Genomic DNA, 26,109 nt, shown 5'->3' with positions numbered 1-26,109 from the left:
AACCTTAGATACCAAAAGCAATTTCCTCCTTAATACAAGGAAGGAATTACAACCCAAGAAAGCTAGGACACCAAGCCAGGCCCAGAGTGTGCAGGCCTTGGCTTGCATACTAGCCTCTCTGTACCACACTGACTCTCCTAGGGGTGTCTTAGGTACACACCTGGCAGGCACCAATCCTGTCCTATTACGAAAACAAGGGAATAGCCCAAGACTTGCTTATGGTGTGATTATAACCTTGGTGAACCATTTGACACTTTCCAAAAGTGGGGAGCAGATATTGCTTTAACCTATAAGGGATTTAGGGTCTCTTGGAGATAGACGCTTATGAATACTTTTGGTTCTACAGAACTTACCTCACCAAAAACATGAATTTACGATGAGGCATGGAGACAACCACTCAACCTGGAAACCAAAATTATGGTCTCCAATCTGCCATTTAAGCTGCCATGTGAGATCATGGCAAACCATCTACTTCTCCAGGCCTCTTTTCTAGGCTACATGGGCCCAGTAAAACGACTGGCTTTGTGAGCTGTTGTGGACATTGTTGGTGCCCTACCCGTATACCTTCATTAGGCCCATTCCCAGCTGCTGTGAGTGTTGGTGAGGACTTGCAGGAAGGGGTCTCTGAAGCCCTATCTGAGGTTCTGCTTCTGGGTATCCAAACCAAAGACATCTCCGTCATAGCTGCAAGAGTCAAGTAAGAGTCTATACATGGCAGCCCTCTGAAAACTACAGGACCAAAGAGTTTTTACTGGCTCTTGATGAAGATCCTGACTGTAAAAATCCCAGCTATGACTTCTTGGTGGAAGGCCAGTGATGACAGCAGATAAGGCAACCTGGGAGGGCAGGGCTGTTGTCATGCATCCCAAGGATGTGAACCCAGGCTTATTCCTTCACCACCCAGAGGTCCAGGGTAGTGGCAGACAGTAAAAACGGATTGATTTTCCATATTGGGAGGGCAAGTATTAAAGTTTCAAATCATTCAGACCTTGGAACTGAACAAGGTCACAAAAATTCCTGCCTTTGCTTCAGGTCCAATGTGCTATAAAAGTATCATAGTGAACTGCAACTTTCTTAAGTGATGCCAGTTTCAGCATATTTTCAAATCCCTAAATATTTATTTTAAGAGGGCATTTCAGAGGTAAGCTTGGGGTATGTGTAGAAAGTGAGAGGAAAAGAGAAAGAGACAGAAGGATTGTGTCCCTGAGGTCTGGAACGTTTGCAATGTCCCCAGTTAATCATTGATGCCCCAGAGCCCAGTGAGCCACCAGAGCTGGCCCTGCTGCAGGGGGCCAGTATGCTTGCTAATGGAATGCCAGGACGCCTTTGGCGCAGTTAATGATTTACCTCCTCCTAGTTGCAGTGCTTGGCACTCCCATTCTCTGAAGCTGATAGAAGCCTGGGTAGACCAGCCCTGCCTAATGGAGTGCAGGAGAAGACAATGATGGTTTGCAGATTCACTGTATGAGCAGAGTCCTGAGGGGCCACCTTCTGTAGGAAAGGGTTTCACACGAGAAGAATACTTTAACAGTGTAATTGTTGTCTGATGTTCCCATGCATGAACGTTTCTGCCTTTAGGGCCACAAGATGACATGATTTTATATGGGCGCATGACATCTGTCACCTTTAAACATGCATAACATTTATTTGCATGGCTCTTTTATTTCCGCTACTAGATTTAAATTCCTTGAGGCCCTCAACAAATTAATGAATGTGCTATATACATTCATTATACAGCACACTAATATAAAAGAAATGCATTTTTTAAGTAAAATTCTTTTTTCTGTTTTGCAAAGGCCAGGTGTACTATTGCAGAACTCTCAGAAACTAATAGTTAACTAAAAAGAAAGGAGGAGACTCACAATCCTAACCACCCAGAGACAACAGCTGTTAACACACCATTTTATATTACAGTGGCTGTGAGACCCTGTGCATCCCAATGGATGCGGTCTCCTTCAACACTGTCAGCCTAAGTTCTGGAACACTTGTTTTGGTGAGGCTACAATGGCTTCAGGCATTGTTCACATGGCTTTTGGGGAATCCACTCCAGAGTCTCAGCATTTCCTCCAAAGTACTCAATCTCTGTCATGAGTATAGTTTAGATTTTGATAGGAAAGGGATATATTTTTGTTTCCAGACATTGTAAATAAGATGGACCATATTGATTTGGAGTTTTATTGTTGTTTCTTTTTCACTGAAGCTTGACCACAAATTAGTGGGGACAGAAAGGCAGTCTTGTGAGATTCACAAACTGGCACTGAGGGGTGACTATATGGAATAATCAAAGAGGGATTGTTCACTTTGGGAGTTTTCCCTGTTATTCAAGGCTTCCTTCCTTAGGAAGAAATCTGCATCCTGGTTACAGAGACTCTGGTCTAAGGGTGGGCTAGGGGCTGAGCACCTGGGAAGAAAACTGAGCACAGTCCAAAGACAACGACCGGCGCTTTTTAGCATAGCTCTTTCCTCGCTTAGTATGCTTAGGGAAGAGACTGTATTTGGATGCCCAGGCCTGTGTGCACATGCGCCAATATAGCATCACTCTGTGACCTTGCAGGGGGTGTGAGTAGGATTATTGCTACAGATCAGTGAAGCCTTTCTTTGTAAATGCAATTTGGGGGTCATTCAGTGAATTTTGATTTTGCTTCATCCGTATCCATTCTCTCTTTCCTTGAAGTGAATACATGGATAAAACTATTGCTACCACTGTTTTGTAATGCAAACAACTTTGTTCTCAGGAAGCTCCTATGATGCCTTCTACTTTCCAGTGCTAAAATCCCCAATTCTGGGTCCTTGGCTGTGCATTAGTGAGCCATTCTGAACCCTAATCCTCCAAAGATGAGTTAATTCTGAAGAGCCTACTGAGTTTCAAGTGTTTGAAGGCCCTTGGGGGACTTCCTTTCTTTAAAACTCAAAGTGAATTCTTTTCTTTGAATTTATCTCTGCATTTTCCCCTCTTTTGAGAGATGTCTTCTCTCTGACTGGGTTGCTATGAAACTCAGATGATTGCACCACTGTACTCCAGCCTGGGCAACAGAGCAAGACTCCATCTCAAAAAAAAAAAAAAAAAGGAAACTCAGATGAGCCAAGTACTTAGAGAAGTGCTGAACCCTTAGCACTCAGCAAATGTCAGCTGCTAACTACAGTTAGAGAAAGGCAAGTGGTCTAGAGCAGCACTACCCCATAGGACTGTCACAAGGCCTGGATGTAATTGTAACTTTTCTAGTAGCCACATTAAAAAGTAGAAACAACTGAAATTAATCTGAATACATTTAATTCAACATATCAAAAATACTACTTTTCAACATCTAATCCATATTTTTAATTATTGAGATATTTTGCCCTTTTTTGTATTGTCTTCGAAACCCAGTGTGTAATGCACACTTACAGTGCAACTCAGTCTCACTGGCCACATTTTGAGTGCTCCATCGCTACCTGTGGCCAGTGGCTACCGTGCTGGGCAGTGCAGGTCCTGAACCTTGCTACTCAAGGTGAGTTCCAGGGACCAGCAGCATCAGTAGCATCTGTGAGCTTGTCCCAACTGCAGAATCTCAGGCCCCAGCCCGGACCTGTAGAAGCAGGATATGCATTTTAACAGGATCACCAAGTGATTTATTAGCATGTTGGAGTGAGAAGCACTGGTCTAGAATCCCCGTACTCAGTCCTGGCCCCCTGGGATTCTAATCTAATTGGTCTAAGGTGGGACCTGGGCACTAGTGTTTTTTTAAAGCTCCCCTGGATGATTCTAAAATGCAGCCGGGCTTGAGAGTCATTTGCATAGTGGATTCTGGACCCAGGATGCCTGACTTTGCCACCTTCTACCTTTGAGACCTTGGGAAATTGCCAAAACTCTCTGTACCTTGATTTCCTTATCTGTAAAATGAGGATGAAATGGGGGCGTTATGAGGATTAAATGAGTTAACACATGTAAAGCACTCCAAACAATACCTGACACAGAGAGAGTACTCATGAAATACAGGCTCTTACCCTTTCTTCTTTTTCTTGAAGGTCCGGGGTTACCCAGAGCCCCAGGTGACATGGCACAGAAACGGGCAACCCATCACCAGCGGGGGCCGCTTCCTGCTGGATTGCGGCATCCGGGGGACTTTCAGCCTTGTGATTCATGCTGTCCATGAGGAGGACAGGGGAAAGTATACCTGTGAAGCCACCAATGGCAGTGGTGCTCGCCAGGTGACAGTGGAGTTGACAGTAGAAGGTGAGTCCCAGGAGGCCCGAGTCCAGGAGGGAGCTGAGCTCTCAGTTACCCCAAGGCCTGCAGCTCCTGCCTTAGCCCTCTCTTGAAGGATGGAGGAACTGACAAGAGAAAACACACCCCATCCTTGAACCCCGGACCTTCCAATCTAATGGGAGAGATGTGGTCCCTGCGAACAAGGGAGGCATCCAGGAGATGATGTTTGTCAAACTAGGTATCACCTGTCTCCTGCTTGAGCCCTCCCATGGCTTCCCCTCACACTGCAGCTGAAATCAGACTCCTTAGGATGGTCTTACAGAGCCCCACCCAATCTGGCCCCTCCCTAGCTCTCAGACCCATCTTCTGCCACTCTGCACCTGTTCAGCCCACCGTGGTCACACCCACCTCTGGCCCTTCTTTGAGCAAGGCTACAGGGCCTTCACCCTTGCTGTTCCTTCTGTAAAAGAAGAGCCCTTCCCTCAGCCTCTCACCTGACGCTCCTTTCACATCCTTCAAGTCTGTTCTCAGATGTCTGCTCCTTAGAGGCCCTTTCCCAACCATCCCAGCCCTATGACTCTCCATCTTCTCACCCCACTCGAGGTTTTTCTTTTAGGACGTATTACCATCTCACATTGCAGTGTCTTCTCCATCCCCCACCACTAAATGGAAGATTTAGGAGGAGATGGACTTTCTCTGCTCATTGCCTTATCTCCAACATCTAGAAAGCTTCCTGGCACATGGTAGATACTGAAATATTTGAGGAATGAATGAACAATGTTTTTATCCTCATTAACATCATCTTTAGCGTCATTATGAAATAATACATGCTCATTATTAAAAATTATGTAACTCAGAAAAATATGTAGGAAGTAAACACATCAATGTGTTAACATATTAGTTAAAAGTAATTGCAAAAACCACATGACTTTTGCACCAACCTAATATTTTTGTCTTTTTCCCCACTCTGTACTTTAAAAAATTCTGTTAACTTTAAAACTTCTAGGAGAAAAATTGGACCATAAGTAAAATATTTTTTGCTACTAGTGTGTCCTTCTGCCATGCTGAAGCCACTCCACTGGAAAGAGTATCTCTAGTTCAGGTCCCTGGCTGACACTTAAAGCCTTGATATCAGGAAGGACATGGGGTCTGTCAGCCCCTCAGAAGTAACACAAGGTTCCCTTGACCCTTCCCGGTCTTTCTAAGACTGGAAGTTTATAAACCAAGGCTCAGACTCACTTCTCCTCTTTCAGAAGACTGTCCTCCCAATCTGGTTTTCAGGGGACACTAGATGGAGAATTAAGGTAGTCAGGGAAGGTTCCAGAAGGGGGCGAGGTGCACCTGGGCCAATGGCCGCCCTTTGCCCTGTTTTCCCTGTCTCCCCACACCACAGAAGGGCCAACAGGCTGTTTCACAGAGTGGAGCATGCATAGTTTGGATGCTTTCCTTAAATTCTTTAACTGAGTGACTCACTTACTCTAATGACCTTTGAGTGCTTTTGGCTGGGGCATTCCAGATGGAAAGTGGCCCCTGCTCAGAACCTCAGGATGGACCTCAGCTCTGCCATCCTGGTGCTGTGCTTTCCCCTACATGAACCCCCTTTCAATGCCTGAACTTTGTGTTGATGCCTACAAATAAAAATTACCCTGTTCCCTCTTCTGAGTTCTGTTTAGAGCTGGGGAAATTGAGAAAGCACTGAGTTATGAGTTTGTGCCAATGAGATGTGTGACTCTAAACCTCTGCACCTGTCTTTCTGCAGGATAAAGGGTTTGACTTTGGTGGTCTCTACAACCTGGACTAGCCCTTGTTTTCTATGATCCACATTAAGGGAAGACTGGAGTCTGTTAGGAATACAGGGGAGGCATATAAAACCTAGATAATATGAAAACGTTTTCTTCAATCCCTACTGTTCAGGAAGTGAGATCTGATGTCATGACCAAGCAGGAAAATTTTTAGTAGCTCATGGTACTCAGGGCAGGGGAAAGGAAATCAGGCTGAGGGCTGTAGAGGAAGGAGAGCAGGCTAAGGCTCTCAACCCCACCCCTCCCCTTTGGTTTTCATTTGGGGAGACTCAGGCCCTCAAATTAAAATTAAAATACAGTTAATTAAAATAAAATTAAGACATAAAATGTAAGATACTTTCTGTCTTCTAACTCTAGGAGATAGAGAACAGCCTAAAGGATGCAGCTCTTTAAATGTGTGTGAGTCCTATGCACATTCTGCTTCTGCAGCAAGACCGATTTTAAGCTAATGTGTGGTTTGGGGCCACCCCACAGACCTAGGCCTGAAAGAGTCCACTCTGGGCCCTTCTGCCATGGATGAGTTGCTGGCTGTGCCAGGCTAGCCCAACCCTTTACAAAGGAAACCTAGCAGCCCAACTGCCTTCCCTCCAGCTCTCTGTGCTATGCTTCTTACTTGGAGTGAGCAGAGGTCCAGGAATTCAGAGTGTAATTCATATGTGGAGTTTTGTAATCCTTTAGTGGTCAAGTTTAGGAGGCAGTGTTGTGCAATGGAAAGAAAGTCAAATGGTCTTGGATTGAATTTTAGCTCTACTAATTTCTAACTATGGAGAAATTAACCTTCCTAAGCCTTACTTCCTTTTCTGTGACTTGGAGTTCATGGCTGCCCCACAGTGTGGTACAAGGATAAGCACAGCTAGTAGGAAGTAGCACCCAGAAAGTGGTAGCTTCATCATTGTTTGAACTGGCATTAGCATCCTTAGAGCTACTTAAAAAGGGAAATCTGCAAGAGAGAAAGATTCCTCATCTGACGTTTAATGTAGTGATCAGGCCCAAGAAACATTCAGAATCCCCCAAGAGAACCAGTGCCTTAATGAGGGCCATGCAGTTATTCAGGGCCTTACATGATGGAAATCAGCCTTGGTCTGAGCCCCTGGAAGGCTATCTGAAGACAGCTCTGACACTTGCCCACCTCCAGAGGTCAGGTCATGAGGCTTGGTGCAGAGCAAGGAAGAGACGTGGTACCTGCCCTCTGAGAACTTCCTCTCCCGTGGAGGACCACAGACCTGTCCTGTAGAGATTTAATGTGAGCCACATATATAATCTTTTTTTTTTTTTTTGAGGCTAGGTCTTGCTCTGTTGCTCAGACGAGAGTGCAGTGGTGTAATCACAGCTCACTGCAGCCTCGACCTCCTGGGCTCAAGCGATCCTCCTACCTCAGCCTCCCAAGTAGCTGGGACTATAGGCCTGCACCACTACACTGAGCTAATTTATGTATTTGTATGTATGTATGTATGTATGTATGTATGTATGTATGTATGTATTTTTCTGAGACAGGGTCTTGCCGTGTCACCCAGGCTGGAGTGCTGTGACATGATCTTGGCTCACTGCAACCTCTGCCTCCTGGGTTCAAACAATTCTTCTGCCTCAGCCTCCCAAGTAGCTGGGATTACAGGCGTGTGCCATCACGCCCGGCTAATTTTTGTACTTTTAGTAGAGATGGGGCCTCACCATGTTGGCCAAGCTGGTCTTGAACTCCTGACCTTGTGATCCGCCTACCTCAGCCTCCCAGAATGCTGGGGTTACAGGTGTGAGCCACCGTGCCCGGCCTTATGTATTTATTTTTTTAAAGATGGGGTTTCACCGTATTGCCCAGGCTTGTGTAATCTTAAGTTTACCAGTAGCCACATTTTAAGATATCAGGTAAAATTCATTTTAATAAAATACTTATTTAACCTATTATATCCAAAATATTACCATTTCAATGTATAAGCGATATAAAAATTATTAATGAGATATTTTACATTCTTCAACATCTGGGATGTATTTTACACTTACAGCACACCTCACTTCAGACCAGCTATAATGCTGAGTGCTCAATAGCCACAAGTGGCTAACAGCTACTCTTTTGAACAGTGCAGTTCTAGAAGCTGCCACCTGAATAGGAATAAACAAGGTTTACACAGAACAAAAAGAGAAAGCCACATGGATGAACAGGTGTTGATATGGTTTGGATGTTTGTTCCTTCCAAGTCTCATGTTGAAACGTGATTTCCAAGGTTGGAGGTAGGGCCTGGTGGGAGGTGATTAGATCATGGGGATGGATCCCTCATGAATGGCTTAATACCATCCCCTTGGTGATGTGTGAATTCTTGCTCAGTTAGTTCACATGAGATCTGGTTGTTTAAAAGAGTCTGGGACCTCTCCCTTCTCTCTCTTTCTCCCTCTCGTCATCTGACATTTCTGCTCCTGCTTCACCTTCCTCCATGATTGTAAGCTTCCCGAGGCCCTCACCAAGAGCAGATACTGGTGCCATGCTTCTTGTACAGCCTGCAGAACCACAAGCCAAATAAACCTCTTTTCCATGTAAATTACCAAGCCTCAGGTATTTATAACAATGCGAGAACAGACTAACAGGTGGTGAGTAGTCCTGGGTCATCACACATCCACACAGTGAGCATCGGACATGAGGTGGAGTGAGTGCCCAAACGGTGGGTGTGCCCCAGCCCCAGTGGTCTCAGTCTGAGAAGGCCTTTGACTTTTCAAGGACCAGAGAGTCACTTCAGGTAATAAAGGGTTAACTTTAAGGACATAAGCTCAGGAGCCCAGGGAAAGCCAAACTGGCAGCCCCCAGAGGAGATCCAGACCTCAGATGGATCACCCACCTTACAGGATTGGTTAGTGCAAATGCATGTGCACAGAAATCACCTGGCGAATCTGGTTGAAATGCAGATGCTGATTCCATAGGTCTGGAGCAGAGCCTGGGAGTCTGCATTTCCAGCCGCCAGTTGATGCCATGCTGCTGGTCCACAGACCACTCTTGGAGTAGCAAGGAGGGATTTAATTACATGTGTGATATATTCCACCTAGTACAGTGATTCTCAAACTTGAGCATGCATCAGAATCACCCGGAGGGCTGCTGAAAACACTGACTGGGCTGGAGCCGTCTGCCTGGCTCTCCCCTCCCAGATGGTCCAAGCACACCTCCTCCCTACCCCCAGCCACCCCTCAGTGCCGCAGCTCCTGCTATCCACACCCGCATGAAACTACTGCAGTGCAGACCGAGGCTCTGACTATGTGAGAGAGAGAGGGCCAGCCAGCAGGTCACCTAGACTGTGACAGCAGAAGGGAGAATGACCCCCTGTCACAAGATTTAAGGGAGAAGAGTAGCCCTGGTGACCACTAAGGCAGCTCTGGTGGTGCCACTGACACCAGGATTCTCGGGCCACCTTGAATTCGTAGGAAATGCTCCTGTGCCATCTTTTGTTGCCACTGCCGTTTTTCAGGGGCAGATCTCTTAGACTCCTTTTATCTTCATGTTGGGTTGGATTGATGACATTATACATTTTTAGGCCGTGTCTATTTATACTGGCTGAGTTTTAAATTACTGTGTTCCTCCTGGATGTTTGTCATGGTTCTTCTTTTGGTTCTTTTTGCTCTTATTTCTTTTGGACTGTCTTCCTTTATCTAACTTTTCTACCCATCTGAAGGACCTATAATTATATTTCCCATTTATGTTCTTTATAAATGCTTTTCAACCTCTAAAACTCCCCAATGACTTCATTTTCTAGGGGTATATACCCTATTTTTTAAAATCTAGGCAGAATCTTAAAATGCTCTGAGTTTTTGTCCTTTTCTGTCTCATTAAAGTTAACAATACAAATGTGATAGAAAGGGAAATTATTCTTTTTGCCCCACCAGACTCTTTGCTGTAAAATAGTTGTGTGTTCAAGACTGCCTTTGCAGAAGCAGCCTTACTCATTTAGTATACAAAAGAGTTAGCTGGAAAGTTACTTGGTCCCATTCTGTTCTTGAAGGATGACTTCCAAATTTCCTTTAGCTGGAATCTCTTCCCTCCTTTATCTTCACCATCCACTTTGCCTTTGCCTCTTTTTCCCTCCAAAATACACACAGGTTGCCCTTGCTGGCCTAACTTAGATTTTTGCTACTGATGCTCCCTCCTTTTTCCATCTCGTATTCCTCCACCTCCTTCTCCCATCTCCACCCCTGGCCTTTGGTAGATTTAGGCTTTTCCCAGTTGCTGTTAGTTCTAGCCTCTTCTTCATTCCTCAGATTTTATTGAACTTTGTGCTAGGATATAAAGAACAATAAAGCTCAAACTCCTAGCCTCAAGCAATCCTCCTGCCTCAGCCTCCTGAGAAGCTGTGGCTACAGGCATGTACCACCATGCCTGGCTTCACAATTCTTTATACTTGAACTTATTTGTCTTTAAATTGTAAATAAAGCCGGGCATGGTGGCTCACACCTGTAATCCCAGCACTTTGGGAGGCCAAAGTGGGCAGATCACTTGAGGTTAGGACTTCAAGACCAGCCTGACAACATGGTGAAACCCGTCTCTACTAAAAACATAAAAATTAGCCATATGTGGTGGTGGGTGCCTATAATCCCAGCTACTCAGGAGGCTGAGGCAGGAGAATCACTTGAGTCTGACATGAGGAGGTTGCAGTGAGCCAAGATTGCACCACTGCACTCCACCCTGGGCGACAGAGTGAGACTCCATCTCAAAAATACGTAAAAAATAAAAATAAATAAATAAATTATAAATAAGTATTTTAAATGTTTTTCTTCTCCACTAGAACTGTAAGCTCCATGAAGGCAAGACATGTCTCTTTTTATCAGTTACTGAATCCCCAGTGTAAGGAACCTAGCACAGGGCCTGAGCCATGATAGGTCTGGCCTGTAGAAAGAGCTCAGTAAATATTTGTTGACTGCCTCTGTAGCTGCCTTTGGTACTTCATCCCCTGTACTAAGAAAGGGATTCCGTTCCTAGTATATATAAGCACTGGTCAGAGCTTCAACAAGTAGACTAACATGTACAACAAAATCTAGAATAATATCTGAGCCTTAAAAGAAAGAGTGCTTCAAAGAGGAGAATTTTGGCAAAAATGTTATTCACATTGAGCAATTTCAGTGACCTTTAGTTTTGACTTTTTTCATTCCTTTTTTCTTCAATACCAAGTTTAATATTCAACCAGAAATTCTGGTTCTAGGCACTTCTCCAGAGGTTTTCTTAAGCCACTGGCCCTAAACAGAGACAGTACCACCCTCTAGGGGGCACTTAGGAGATTCATGGGGGCCCTTTTGGTTTCCCAGTGATTGGGAGTGTTGCTGGATTTAGGGGGCAAGCACTAGGGGTACAGGATGGGCTTCACAGCAAGAATCTTTTCCCAGTTCCTCACAGTCCTACCAGAACAGACACCACAAATATATAAATCGGTGGTTCCTTAGTCTTCAATAATACAAAAAAAAAGAGCCCAGTAATTGAAGAAATGGTCATCATTTAGAGGGAAGATTAAAAGGAATGAAGCTATCCTCCAAAATTTTTGAAAAATTTACTCTGCACAAATTTTCTACTAAATGAAATATAACATTTCTATCTATATATAATTACCTCATATAATTGTATATATAGATAGTGCTGTTACTACACTATTGCTCTGAAAATGTGGATCAGAGGAGACTTAAAACTCTTAATATTAGAAGCAAATAGTATTAAGTTAATGGAGATGCATAAAATGTAGGCATCTTATTGAGTTTTATTGCCATCTCACATTTTTTAAAACTTTGGGGAACAGTAATAAATCTATATTGTAAAAAAATTATGTATTTCCATTATTTTTTGGAGATGACTGCTGTTTTCATCCTAGCACATGTCTTCTCTATAGTCTCTTGTTATTATCACTGTTCCTTTGTCAAAACCATTCACTGAATGTGTATTTCAAGGTAAGGTGAGATTTTACCTTGAAGTCCTGTGATAAATTTTACTGTGATAATTTTCTTACTACTCAACCCCGTATCATAAAACGGAGAATTGTTTTAACACCACATTAATACATTAATCATCTTTCTAAAAATGTTCTCTACTTCAGTGGTCTGTAACTTGTCTTGCTATGTTATCTTCTTTTAAAGTTATTTTCTTCTTTCTTTTTTATATAATACATCTTTTTATTTGAATATTCTAGTGTCCACTGTAGACCTGTGCTCTTTCACTTTGCTGTGCTACTTGTACAGCATGATTTTTCATCATTCACTTTTAAATCTAAACATGCATTAGGAGTTAATGCAAGAATCTGCCATTTCATTGTCATCTAATGTGCCTGAGCACTTATGTAAATTGAAATGGTCATGCTTGAACAGTTGCATATTGAAATCCATATTTTTATAATTCACTTTCGCTCTATATCACCGTAATGCTTTAGTTAAGGCTTTACATTTATTTTCTTTTTGAAATTATCACATACGTGTATGTGTGATTAGAAGGGAATTTTGATCAGGGTCGCATGGGGATATCAGTTAATACGTGTTATAAAAAGCGGATATTTGTTCTGATAGAGTGGAGAACCACTATTTTAAGTAATCCTCAAAAAACACTTTGAAGTTGGCTACAAGTAGGGTGACTGCTCCCCACTTTTCCTGGAACAGTCCTAGCTTTCTCCTGCTATCCTGGCATGATTATTAATTGCATCTCTCTCAGTGTTGAGAGTCTCTGTTTGGATGATAAATTATATCACCGCACATTTTTAGAAGCATTTCGGCTCCTTTCAATTTTGATCACATTATTCACTTTTTGAGCAGTATGTTCTGACCCGATTCAGTCTTTCTGTATCACCTGACAAACAGAGCTAGGTCTACCTTATCCCTTCCACCACTGAACTTTCCAATCCTAAGACCTGCCAGCATTCTCTTTTACTTGTCTTTGAAAAATCTAAGATCAAATACCGTCAGTGTCTTGGCCTCTCCTTTTTCTCAGCAACTTGCTTCTGTCCTCACCAGTTCTCTTAACTCATTCTTCTATTTTTTGCATTTCTACTTTAATCCCCTTTCCACTTATTTTTCTACATAACCTTACTGTTCTGCCAGATTTTCATACTTTTACAAAATTAATTTTGCCTTATCTAACAATTTGCAACTTCAAATTTTTCCTATAAATAGACCCTGTTAGTAATTTTAGCCTAAATTCTTTTTGTCTTGATGTGAACTCTCTGTTAACTCATATTAAAATAAGCATCCATCAATTCCATTTTTAGCTGACTGCTTTATGTGATATGTTTTCATCATACCCTCTTACCCTGACATAGAAGTATCTCTCCCCAGCATTCTTTTGCTATTCTTTGGGAAAGTGCCATGTTTTTGCTTTTATTTATTTTTTAAGGAAGAAAGGAATTTAAGCCTTTTGGATTAAGATATTTAGCTCCCAAGACTTTTTAAAATGCTCAGTCTAATTTTTTTTATTGTGGTAAAATATACATACCTAACATAAAATTTACCATTTTAACCATTTTAAAGTGTACAATTGTCATTAAGTACATTCACAGTGTTGTGCAGCCATCACTGCTATCTCATTCCAGGACTTGTTTATTACCCCAAATGGAAACCCCATACCTATTGAGCATTAATTCCCCATCCCCTCCTCCCCCAGCTCCTGGCAACTACTAACCACCATCTTTCTCTATGGATTTGCCTCTCCTGGACATTTCATATGAACGGAATCCTATCATACATGGCCTTTTGGGTCTGAGCTCCTTCACTTAATGCACTTTTTCAATGTCCATCCATGTTGTACCACGTGTTAGTACTTCATTCCTTTTACAGCTGAATAATACTTCATTGTATGGATGCACCACATTTTCTTTATCCATTCATCAGTTAATCAGTCTAATTTTTATAAAATCTTTATTCCCAGATGAAATGAGTGATACAGTAGTGTGGGTAGTACAATGGATGGTACACGGATATTTTGTGATGAAATGTTAGAGACTGGATAATGCTGTTGTATGGAGCGTGTTTAGAAGGCCCTATCCATCCTCTATTTGGATGCCAGATTTTACTTTCTTCCTCCCTGCCCCTTTTTTTGCAACTAGATTATGTTTTTCATGTTTTATTTCTTCTTTACCATTGTATTTATAGGTTTTAGAAAATACAGCTGAATAAAATTACTCAGAGTACCACAACCCCCAAAATAATCAGTATTAATAACATGATACCTTTTCTTGTCATTTTCCTGTCTTTGGGTATTTTAGTTTTACCTAATTATGATCACATTAAATAGGTAATTTTGTATGCTGCACAAAATGTATTTAACAAATATTTAAATACCTACAATGTGCTGGGATTTGTTCCGGATACATCTGATGAGTGAATAAGAAGTTCTAGTGGGGATATGGGTTGGGTCTTTAGCATATAGATGATATTTAAAGCTATGGGACTAAGACCTCCTGGGAGAAATTAGATGGAGCTGGGGAGAGGCCCAGGACTCAGCCCTAGGGTGCCCCAGCATGCAAAGGTTGAGCAGAGAAGGAGGTTGAGAGAAGATGAATAACCTGGTAAAAGCAGGAAAGTCTAGAAGAGAAAGTGCTTTGAAGGGGAGTGGGACCTTGTGTCAGATACTACTGAGCATCTGAGTGAGATGGAGACAGAGTGTCAACCATTGGGTTTGACAAGATTGTGGCTGGGATGGAGCCCAGTGGAGCGGAGAGGATCATAGCCCATTTGGAGTGTGCTGAGGAACGAATGAGATAATATCCTAACATGTACCTGCACGTTTCAGATATTCTTAAACATAATTTAATGGCAGAATAAGATGTCTAATTGTACATTTTACCTGACTACTTATTTTCTTCCTACTGAGTGACATTTATGTTGCTTCTAACTTTCACTATTACAAATAAGATAAAAGTGAATAGCTGTGTAAACTTTCTCTTCTAACTTTAGCGTCGTTTCCTTTGAATGGAGTCACAGAAACGGAGGTGCTGTCCCAAGAGCAGAGCATCTTTAAAGCTTATGATTTTTCCTCACTCAAGTATTTCCAGGAGGACTGGACAGTTGGCTCTGCCTCCAGCAGCATCTGAGGGCCCAGCATCTTGACTGTCAGTTGGGTCCTTTCAAAACAAGTCTCTCCTTTTATCAATTTAGAAGTTCTTTTACTTTTGAATAGAGAATGGAATGACAAAAACCAAAACACTTTCAGGAATGAAAACTAGACACAGCTCACTAAGTAATGTTAAACAGAAATGCCTGTATCGTAATCACCAATTATATGGAGCCACAGCTTAAATGTGATGCCAGTGTTTGTTATTAATCCCTTTTCACTAAAGTTCTGGTGGAATCTTAAACCGGGTGTGGCTGATGAAAATAGCCATGATTTTTCTCCTCCACACCTATGTTCTTACACAGTCATATAAATGTGATCAGAGTCAAAGTTAAGGAAGTTTACTCTTTTGCAGTAAACTCCCTGCAAATTCCCCACAGCAACTGTCTGCTGATATCAGAGGATGACTCTACCCTCCCTGGGATAGGGTTTTATAAACATCCCCAGCTTGCGGCAAAAGAAGAACAACTTTCAGGGTGATCATCATCTCAAAAAAGACCTCTTCCTCCCACCCCACCCCTCAAAATAAAACTCCCACTACTTTAGAGTTATTTCATGGTGACATTGTGAATTGTCCCTCCCAGCTGCAGGAGCTGGATGAAAGGAGCTAACCCCAGCTGCCTTGCTGGCTTTGCTATTTAATGGCCTCCTGCCTAGCACGGCAACAGCTCACCCAGGATCAGCAGCGCCCAGTAGGATAGCGCCTACTATGGCCTCATCATCTCACCTAGGACCGACTGGCAGTGCCCAGCATAGCAGCGCCTTGCCCAGGACTGGCAGTGTCTAGCATAGCAGCGCCTTGCCCAGGACTGGCAGTGTCCAGCATAGCAGCGCCTTGCCCAGGACTGGCAGTGTCCAGCATAGCAGCACCTTGCCCAGGACTGGCAGTGTTCAGTGTGGCAGCACTGCAGATTCTGCAGGAGCTGCTGGCTCCGCTGTAGCTCATCTGCAGTGACCTGTCCTGCTCTCTTTCAGCTTGCTGCTACTTGCCAGGCCTTAAGTGGAAGAATGGAGTGTTGATTGTGTCAGTCAAGAGTAGGTGTGGTAAGAGATAGGCATGGGCCTTTCCCTCCCTCCCTTTAACTGAGAAAATGTTCTGGAGAGGTCCTGAATCACCCCCAAATAATCCCCAAAATGGAAGGTAGAGCGTACTACCCTAACAACTCAGCAGGGTGGTTGAGAGTTTTAGAATCTGGCAGACCTGGGTGAATTTCTGCACTGTTACTGACTTTGTGACCTTGTATGGATGACTTAACTTCTCTGAATCTTATTTCTCTCATCTGTTTAAAAAATAGGATAATGTAGTATCAGCTTCATAAAATTATTGCAAGAAATTCACATGATAATGTATGTAAACACCTACCATAGTATCCATAGTGACACAGCCCATGCTCAGTCAAGATTAATGATCACCATCACTATCCCACCCACCCCTGCTGTTGAATCTTTTTACTTTCATTGCTCCAAGTTGGTGGCTCAGACCTGACTCATCAACTCTTTTTCTTGCAGGAAGTTTTGCGAAGCAGCTTGGTCAGCCTGTTGTTTCCAAAACCTTAGGGTAAGTCCTGGATGTTCAAGACAGAGTAAGGGTTGGATTGCTTTCCTGCTGACTTGAGCAGGATAGGTCTGGGGAGTAAGTCTTGGCTCTCCTAGGTTATAATAACCAAAGGGCGGGAGCCTAGTACAATGAGATGTGTCATTTACACAGCACCTCCTGACCTGGCTGCCTCTGTGATTGGCTCCTTTGACTGGCCCAGCTGCTAAATGTAAGGAAGTGGGAGAGGTGGCCAGAGTCTGCAGTGGACTCTAACAATCAAGGCAATAGTCAGAAGATTGAAATAAGCAAGCCTAGAAGAGGCGGGTAACAGTAGCTGCTGTAACAGACAAGCCTCAAATCACAGTGGCTCAACCCAGGGAAAGTTTGTTTCTTACTCAGGGAAAGTTCAGTTCAGATATCCTGGAACATGGGGAGAGCCTTCCACATTATCTTCCAGGAGCCCAGGCTTCTTCCATTTTATAGTTTCATCTCCTAGGCCCTTGAGCCCCCACTGGGCCTTCTGCATCTCACCAGCAGAGTGGACGAGAGACTGCAGAGCCTCACAGGAGGTTCTTATGAGTCGGCCCTGGAAGTGGCATACAGCTCTTCTGCTCATGGTCTCCTGGCTAAAACCCAGGCTTTCAGCCAGGGCTCAGTGGAATTCAGGCATGCCTAACTGCAAGGAAGGCTAGTAAATGAAGTCTAGCTGCATGCCCAAGAGGTAGAGGAAATAGGTTTTGGTGCCACACATTTTTCTAGAGAGAGCATGAGAAAGTTTCTGAGGCATAAAATTGGGAAGGCTACACTTTGATGGCTTCTGACCTTAACTTAGTGCCTTTGAGTGAGGTGGAGAGAGGATGGTTGAATTGCTGCCTTGTCTGGGACTGGATTCTCTGCCAATTTCCTTACAGGGATAGATTTTCAGCTCCAGCAGTGGAGACCCGTCCTAGCATCTGGGGGGAGTGCCCACCAAAGTTTGCTACCAAGCTGGGCCGAGTTGTGGTCAAAGAAGGACAGATGGGACGATTCTCCTGCAAGATCACTGGCCGGCCCCAACCGCAGGTCACCTGGCTCAAGGTGAGGTTTCTGTCTGCCCTGACCCTGATCCAGCCTGTATTAGTCTGTTCTCATGCTGCTAATAGACATACCCGAGACTGGGTAATTTATGAAGGAAAGAGGTTTAATGGACTCACCGTTCCACATGGCTGGGGAGGCCTCACAATCATGACAGAAGGTGAATGAGGAGCCAAGTCATGCCTTATATGGCGGCAGGCAAGAGAGCATGTGCAGGGGAACTCCTCTTTATAAAACCATCAGATCACATGAGACTTATTCACTGTCATGAGAATAGCATGAGAAAACCCACCCTATGATTCAGTTACCTCCCACTGGGTCCCTCCCACAACACGTGGGAATTATGGGAGCTACATTTCAAGATGAGATTTGGGTGGGGACACAGCCAAACCATATCATAGCCCTAGGGACCCTGAAAATTCAGGGTTAGACCCTTCAACTAGTAGGAGTCTTTCCATTCTGTTCCTCCTGTTTCAGGCGGTTCTCAGGGGTTCTCTGTATGTTTGTTAGGGATGCATGTTCCTGTCCCTATTACAACTCTCCCTCTGTTACTCAGACCACAGTGTTCTGACAATTCTCACACTCACAAAATAGCAGAAAACTTCTGAGTCAAGACAAGCCTGACAATCTCAAGAGTGGACTGTGAAGTTAGGGTTCTAGGTGTTAAGCCACAGCTCCCTGGTTTATAAAGCCTGTGAAGCTGGATAAGTCATTTGACTTCTTGGAATCCTGGTTTCCTTATCGGTGAGATAGAAATAATACCACCTACCTCAAAATATTGTCAGGAGCCTCCATGTAGAAGGGATTTATAAATCATTCAGGGCTGGGGGAAGTGAAGCTTAAGGGGGAGAGGTGGGCGGGCAGGGAGGCAGTGGCATGGGGTTGGGGATGGCTGTTAAACAGGGCAGTGAGGATCCTAGGGGAACAGGTAGAGTCATGGCCAGGGGAATAGGTTTTTCAGAGTTGGAATGCCTGGGTAAAAGTGGGTATTGACACCTTTTACCTGCTTCCTAATTCTCTTGAACTCCCCTAGGAAAAGAATAAAAGGAATGGGGAGGTAAGGAAAAACTGAAGTGAGGAATATGGGATTTCCTACCTCAAACTCAGGCTCCTTTGAAACAGTTTTCAGGCAACTGCTCTAAGCAGGACAGAGCACCACACCACATCCACAGACCTCAAGTCAGGGCCCCTGAACTGTTTAAAGTTGGCTCTCTGAGCACATTGACAGGGCCCACAGCAGAGGACGCTGCTGCCCAGGCCCTGGAGTCTATCCCACTAGGATTGGCAGGAGGCAGGAGGACACAGCCAGAAGGTGAGCAGATTTGTATGACCAAGTTACCCCATTGCCATCCACAGGGAAATGTTCCACTGCAGCCGAGTGCCCGTGTGTCTGTGTCTGAGAAGAACGGCATGCAGGTTCTGGAAATCCATGGAGTCAACCAAGATGACGTGGGAGTGTACACGTGCCTGGTGGTGAACGGGTCGGGGAAGGCCTCGATGTCAGCTGAACTTTCCATCCAAGGTATCGACCAGTGGACGGCTAGTGCAGAACGATCCCTGCCTGGTGCCGCACCCTCCTAGAGGAGCTGCTTGTTCACTGCGCACCTGTGTGTGTATACACCTGGCCCACTCACACACCCAGGCACTCCCCAGGGGCAGGTCTTTTTTTTTTTTTTCTCTTCAGACAGAGTCTTGCTCTGTCGCCCATGCTGGAGTGCAGTGACATGACCTCAGCTCACTGCAACCTCCGCCACCCAGGTTCAAGCGATTCTCCTGCCTCAGCCTCCTGAGTGGCTGGGACTACAGGCACACACCACCACGCCCGGCTGATTTTTGTATTTTTTGTAGAGACAGGGTTTTACCATGTTGGCCAGGCTGACCTCAAGTGATCTGCCTGCCTTGGCCTCCCAAAGTGCTGGGATTACAGGTGTGAGCCACCACGCCCGGCCACAAGGGGCAGGTCTTTGACAAGAAGAAAGGGTGAACAGGGCAGCGCAGACCTGGCCACGAGGGAAGATGCCCTGTGCTTGGCTGCCACCTTCCCTTGTGTTCCCATAGTCTCCCCCACCATGTCTTCAGTCCTTTCTTCTCACCCGGACTCCCTTTTGTATCTGTGGTTGCCAACTGGAAGAATGAATGTTGCTAACGTCTTGCCATCACCCCAAATTTAACCTGCCCAGAATTTACTGATAATTTACTCTGTCTTTCAAGTCAGGCGATCCTTCGACTTGACCCCCTCTACCAGGGTTCCCATGTTCCTTCACACCCAGACTGGACTTTCCAGCATCCTTTTGACCCCTGCCTCTTTCTCCTTGAGTCGTCAGCCCTGTCAGTTCTTCCTTGTAAGTCTTGTTGAACACGTCTCCTCCTTACAGTTCTTTGGTTCCTCAAGTCCGGGCTGAGGAGGGAGTGCAGGGATGGGGAAGGGGCTGCATGTCACTTTACTGGAGCAGGAACTCGGGGGTCAGGAAGGGAAGTGGCTTTCAGTCCTTCCTCCTTCTTTGTCCCTCTCTTTTCTTCTGATTTTTCTGTTCTGCATCTCCTTCTTCTTAGAAACGATTCATCTTTGCTCTTGTTACTTTTTTTGGCCTGGGTATTTTTCACAATCTACAGAAAGAAATATATTTCACAGTACATTGCAACCCAGAACATGTATACATAGGTAAACAAGTTTCAGGAAACCATCCTGACCGTACTGTGTACAGTGCATGCTGGTATTCTCTATTTCACTTGACATCACTAAAACAAGAAATCCTGGTCCTGACCGGAGGACCTGACTTGGTGGCTCACTGCTGAATAAGGAGATGCCACCAGACACCCAGAGCAATGTGTGCCTGCCCTGACATTCAGTTAAATACTATTCCCTCCTGATGGACTTCATGACAAAATATGTTGCCTGATATTTGTTTTAAAATACTCAAAAACAAATAAACGAAAGAAAACAAAAATGGATATATAAGACTGGCAAAATGTGGTATCTCCTTAATCGTGGTGATGGCTTTCAGGGTTTGTTATCTCTTTCTACTATTGTATATTTTTAAGTTTACCATGATAAAATTTGAGAAAGAATATAGCAGGAAAAATATGTATTTTATGTTTTTTCTTTGAAGAACTGGATAACATTAAAAGTATGCTTTTCTGTACACTGGTAAGTTACAGCATTTGGGTTTGGAATTTTCAGTAGATGTTTGTTTGTCCCTGGATTGGTTTTTTTTCCTTCTGTTTAGTGAACAGAAACAGATTCCATGCCCTCAGGGTATGGTAGCACCAGCCACTATTAAGAAGCCCAAAGGACAGAACCTGAAGCTTTGACAATGTACTCTAGGGCTGGGGGGAGTTCAAAGGCCAAAGACGTTCAGCACCAGGGAAGCTGGAAGGAGCCAGCAGGGTGGGACCACGGTGATGAGGAAGTGCCTGGGGAGGGAAATTTTGGTGTATACAGCATTCTACTAACAGTCTTTCCACCCTTCCCCCTTTTTCCAGGTTTGGACAGTGCCAATAGGTATGTCTAGGCTTTGTGACTTTTACGTTTTCCCTCTTGAAATGCCCTGCAAGGATGTTACCGAGAAATGCCCTGAATTTCTGAATCATCTTATGGGGCAGAAGAATTGGCCATTTGGAGGATGTTGTTTTATTTTGGGTGTTTTGTCTTGTTCTCCTATTGTAATATGACACACGGGTTCTATCTCAGGTTGCTGTCAGTATTGAGACTGGAAAACTCAGTGTTGCCACCTTTCACAGTATCTACACAGTCTCTTCTCTGGTTAGCATCCTGAGGAAGAACACTGCTCTGAGAAGGCCGCCTTCCTCATTCCAGGGCGGAATCTGTTCACTCATCCAGCCCAGACCCAGCAGGAGCCTCTTTCCTGTGTGTGAGGCTCGGCGCTAGATGCTGGATGTGCAGGGGTGGGCGTAGAGGAGGGCTTAAACCACACGAACGCACATTACCAACTGGGATGCGTCTGTGAGGAAGGACAACAGGAAGGCACTGATTAGAATAGAGGGGCAGGGAAGCCATTTCGGGAACTTGGTATTTGAGCTCAGACCTGTGCAAAGGAATGTTAGCTGGTGAAGAAAAGCTCAGGGAGTGTGCTCCAAACAGCAGGGATAGCATGTACAAGCTGTGAACCAAGAGATGGGCCCATGGGGACCCAGAAGGACGCCAGTGTGGCCGCAGCCTGGTGAATGGCAGGCCAATGTCTGTACGATCAGGAGCTGGCATTCCTGTGGGCCCTCTTGTGGGGCTCAGTTTCATTCTTAAAGTAGTGGAAAAGCTGTTGGAAAATCCTTGGGCTTGAAATGACATAATTTGATTAATGTTTTTAAAAGATCGACTATGGTCGCTGTATAGAAAATAGATTAGAGAGGGCAGAGTGGACACGGGACACCGGTGGCAGAGGTTGAACTACGGAGGCACTAGTAGAGAAGGGAACTGTAGGGAAAGCAGGGCTCTGGGCAGGGTTGTGGGACAGGCAAGTGTCGGGAATGGCTGCTTGTGCTGTGGCTTGGGAAACTGGGCAAACTGCAGAGAAAGATGCTCTTACTTGCCCTTAACTTGTGGGCTTTTGTGATCCCTGGAATCCGTGCTTGTGATGAGTAATATTTGTGAGTAACCAGATGATCATTCTATTCTCCCCTCTCCTCACCCACCCTACCCCCACCCTCACCACCACACAGGTCATTTGTGAGAGAAACAAAAGCCACCAATTCAGATGTCAGGAAAGAGGTGACCAATGTAATCTCAAAGGAGTCGAAGCTGGACAGTCTGGAGGCTGCAGCCAAAAGCAAGAACTGCTCCAGCCCCCAGAGAGGTGGCTCCCCACCCTGGGCTGCAAACAGCCAGCCTCAGCCCCCAAGGGAGTCCAAGCTGGAGTCATGCAAGGACTCGCCCAGAACGGCCCCGCAGACCCCGGTCCTTCAGAAGACTTCCAGCTCCATCACCCTGCAGGCCGCAAGAGTTCAGCCGGAACCAAGAGCACCAGGCCTGGGGGTCCTATCACCTTCTGGAGAAGAGAGGAAGAGGCCAGCTCCTCCCCGTCCAGCCACCTTCCCCACCAGGCAGCCTGGCCTGGGGAGCCAAGATGTTGTGAGCAAGGCTGCTAACAGGAGAATCCCCATGGAGGGCCAGAGGGATTCAGCATTCCCCAAATTTGAGAGCAAGCCCCAAAGCCAGGAGGTCAAGGAAAATCAAACTGTCAAGTTCAGATGTGAAGGTGAGTAGAGGTAATTAGGGTCACCGATTGCCAAAATGTAGCCCCTTGGTGGCCACTCCCTTCCTTCAGCACCCAGCTAGTCTGCATCACCTATATCCACTCATCTTCTTGGACTAGCTCCCCTAGAAAACCACCTTACAAGGGCCTTCCCCTTAGGAGTGACTCATTGTAGAAATGCCCTTTATTCTGGAGAGACCCCTAACAGTAGCCTGTTGTTTGCTCTTGGATAGAGTACTGGCCCTGGCCCTAGTTCTTACCACCCTAGAAGAAACACCCTCATTATCGCCAACATCGAAAAGCAAACCTCATGGTCTCCTCCGCCCTTTCTTCCCCTTGCCTGGCTTTGGCCAACCTGGAGACCTTGCCCATCACGCTGTATTCATCCTCCTCAAGGCCCCTGACTCTCTCAAGAGGTTTCGTCTTGTGGAGTGTGGTTGAGGGTGAGGAAGCAGACTCAGAGGTGGGAGGGCAGCTCCACACCAAACTGAGCCCTTTCCTCCAGCTCACACCTTCCCCACCTACCTCACAATCACAGGGTGCTCTCCAGGGCATAGGGAGCTCACGTTCTTTACCTGGCCCTGTAGTTTCCGGGATTCCAAAGCCTGAAGTGGCCTGGTTCCTGGAAGGCACCCCCGTGAGGAGACAGGAAGGCAGCATTGAGGTTTATGAAGATGCTGGCTCCCATTACCTCTGCCTGCTGAAAGCCCGGACCAGGGACAGTGGGACATACAGCTGCACTGCTTCCAACGCCCAAGGCCAGCTGTCCTGTAGCTGGACCCTCCAAGTGGAAAGTGAGTACACTTCTCCAGGTCACCCCGCATTCTCTGTGGGACAACCATTCATGGGGTGCTTCACCTTCTGCAGATGGTTCATCTCCTATAGCCCCCTGCCTTGGTGCACAGCCCGACAGAAATGTCACCCCCAATCACATGCCAAGGCCAAGTGTGTTGCTCTAGGCCAGTGATTCATAATCAGGAGTTCACATCAGAATCACCTCAAAATAAACATGCATGGCCCCACACCCAGCCCAACTGACAGCTACCTTTCCTAGGTCCCTCAGCTGTTTGAATAGTGCCGTGACTCACGTTTGTAACCACAGAGAACTGAGTGTTCATTAAATATACAGGTTTAGAGTAATGTGAGATGATGTGGGATCCCACATCTTTTATGTTTATTGTACTGTCTGTTTATAAAAGTAATGCATGTTCATTGTGGGGAATTTAAACAATATATAACCTTATGACTCAGAAATAAATTATATTTTAATGTTTTTTATACAAACTTACCATTGTGGTATTTGTATACTGCTTTCTATCCTAATTTGCTCATGTGATATTAACATCTTTTTATACAATTCTTGGAAAGCATGACTTTTAGTAGCCATATAATATTGCATGAAATGGCTGTATCTAATTTAGGTATGCTGTTATTTGTTGAATAATTAAATTGTTTCCATTTTTCACTATTATAACATACCTATGATAAATATTCTTGTACCTGTCTATCTCTATAAAATTTCCCCCTTACTCTAAATGCATATGTAAGCCCCAGGCCCATGCCATACCCTTGAGAAATGCATTAACAAATACCACAAGAGTAGAATCTGCAAATTGCAGGCTGCTGGAAACTGTGGAACAAATAACTTTCACCCATTTTTTTTCCACATACAAATTGCAAGCAAAAAAAAAAAAAAAAAGACAACCTATAGAAAACTTATATTAGAAGGTATATAGTAACATCAACAATTACAATAATTTTTGATAATCTTCTGCCAATCCTGACTGAGATAATCTTTAAAAAGTTTTTATGGGAACATCAAGAGAATTTGGACACTGATAAGATTTAATATAAAGGAATTCGTGGTGTTTTAAGATGTGATGGTGGTCTTGTTACTTTTTTTTTTATAAGTTCATCTGTTTGAGAGATATATCCTGAGTTATTTACTGGTGAAATGATATGGCTTTTTATATTTGACTTAGAAATAATTCATGTTTGGGGAGCACTGGCAGGGATATCAATGAAATAATATTGATATAAATGAAAGTTGAGAGATGGGTACATAGGAATTCACTACACTGCTTTGTCTACTTTTGTGTGTGTTTGAAAATTTTCAAAATGCACATTTCCAAAAGAAAAAAAGAGTTAGTGATGTATCCATATAGTAGAATGCCAGACAACATCCTGTAGACTGATGCTAAAACATGTTCAAGATGCACTAGGAAGGGAGAGGAGCAAAGTACAGGCTCATGTGTAAATGGAAGAAAAGATCTGTGTACACACATGCAAAAGATGCCTGTGTGTGCACAAATCATTTCTGGAAGAGCACAAAAGTCCCTCTAGGAAGGGGAAACTAGGGGTTCACAGGAAGGAATGGGGCATCTTACTTTTCACTGTATACTGTTGATTCACTGGGATTTTAACTGTTGTTTAACTGGGATTTTTACTATCCTCGTGAATTCCTTTACAAGAAATATTATCCATGCCATTTGCAGGTGGGAGTGCTGGTAGGCAGAGTTCACAGGTCTAGGAGATCAAGCCTCATCATCCAGGCCAGGTCTCTATCCCTGCGCAGGGGACAGAAATATGGTGTCAGGTCCACCACAGATTAATGGCGTATCCAGAGGGCCTAGATTCTCCTGTGGCTTCTTCTGCTGTGAATTCATCTAAGTCTCACAGAAGACTATTTTTAGCCTGTTCGCGTCATGGGGTAATACATCTCAGGTTGATTCCCTATCTTGTTGTGTTTTGTGTGACAGCTTTATTGAGATATAATTCACATAACATAAAAAGCACCCTTTTAAAGTACACAATTCAGTGGTTTTTAATATATTCACAGAGTTGTGTGGCCATCACCATCATCTGATTTCAGAACATTTTCACTACCCCTCCCAAAAAAATCCTACCCATTAGCTGTCACTCCCTGTTCTCCCATCCCCACAACCCCTGATAGCCACTAATATACTTTTTGTCTCTATGGGTTTTCCTCTTCTGAACATTTGATGTTAAATGGAATCATTCAATATGTGGCCTTTTGTGTCTGGCTTCTTTCTCTTAGCTTAATGTTTTCAGGGTTCATCTGTGTTGTAGCAGGTGTTAGTACTTCATTCATCCATGTGGCTGAATCATATTGCATTGTATGGGTATAGCATACAGTGTTTTGTTTATCCACGCATCACTTAAGGTCCATGTGGTTGTTTCTACTTTTTAGCTATGGTGAAAAGTGTTGCTATGCACATTTATGTATGAGTTGTT

General features: G+C 44.3%; 1 protein-coding gene across 17 annotated transcripts in view; it reads left to right on the top strand.

The window, feature by feature from the left end:
- Positions 1-26,109, top strand: part of MYLK (myosin light chain kinase) — a 274,284-nt gene that overhangs the window by 127,789 nt on the left and 120,386 nt on the right. For 11 of the 17 annotated variants that reach the window (XM_047448184.1, XM_024453532.2, NM_053027.4 and 8 more), the window contains 7 exons: positions 4,006-4,213; positions 16,543-16,591; positions 17,482-17,647; positions 19,001-19,166; positions 21,128-21,146; positions 22,322-22,857; positions 23,442-23,648. In XM_047448184.1, the coding sequence (XP_047304140.1) occupies positions 4,006-4,213; positions 16,543-16,591; positions 17,482-17,647; positions 19,001-19,166; positions 21,128-21,146; positions 22,322-22,857; positions 23,442-23,648 (1,351 nt within the window). The remainder of the gene's footprint in view (positions 1-4,005; positions 4,214-16,542; positions 16,592-17,481; positions 17,648-19,000; positions 19,167-21,127; positions 21,147-22,321; positions 22,858-23,441; positions 23,649-26,109) is intronic. The other 6 variants (NM_053028.4, NM_053026.4, XM_047448186.1 and 3 more) reach the window with 2 other exon arrangements.

This window comes from Homo sapiens, chromosome 3, assembly GCF_000001405.40.
Source record: "Homo sapiens chromosome 3, GRCh38.p14 Primary Assembly".
NCBI lineage: Eukaryota > Metazoa > Chordata > Mammalia > Primates > Hominidae > Homo > Homo sapiens.
This window is presented reverse-complemented; position numbering and strand designations above follow the sequence as displayed.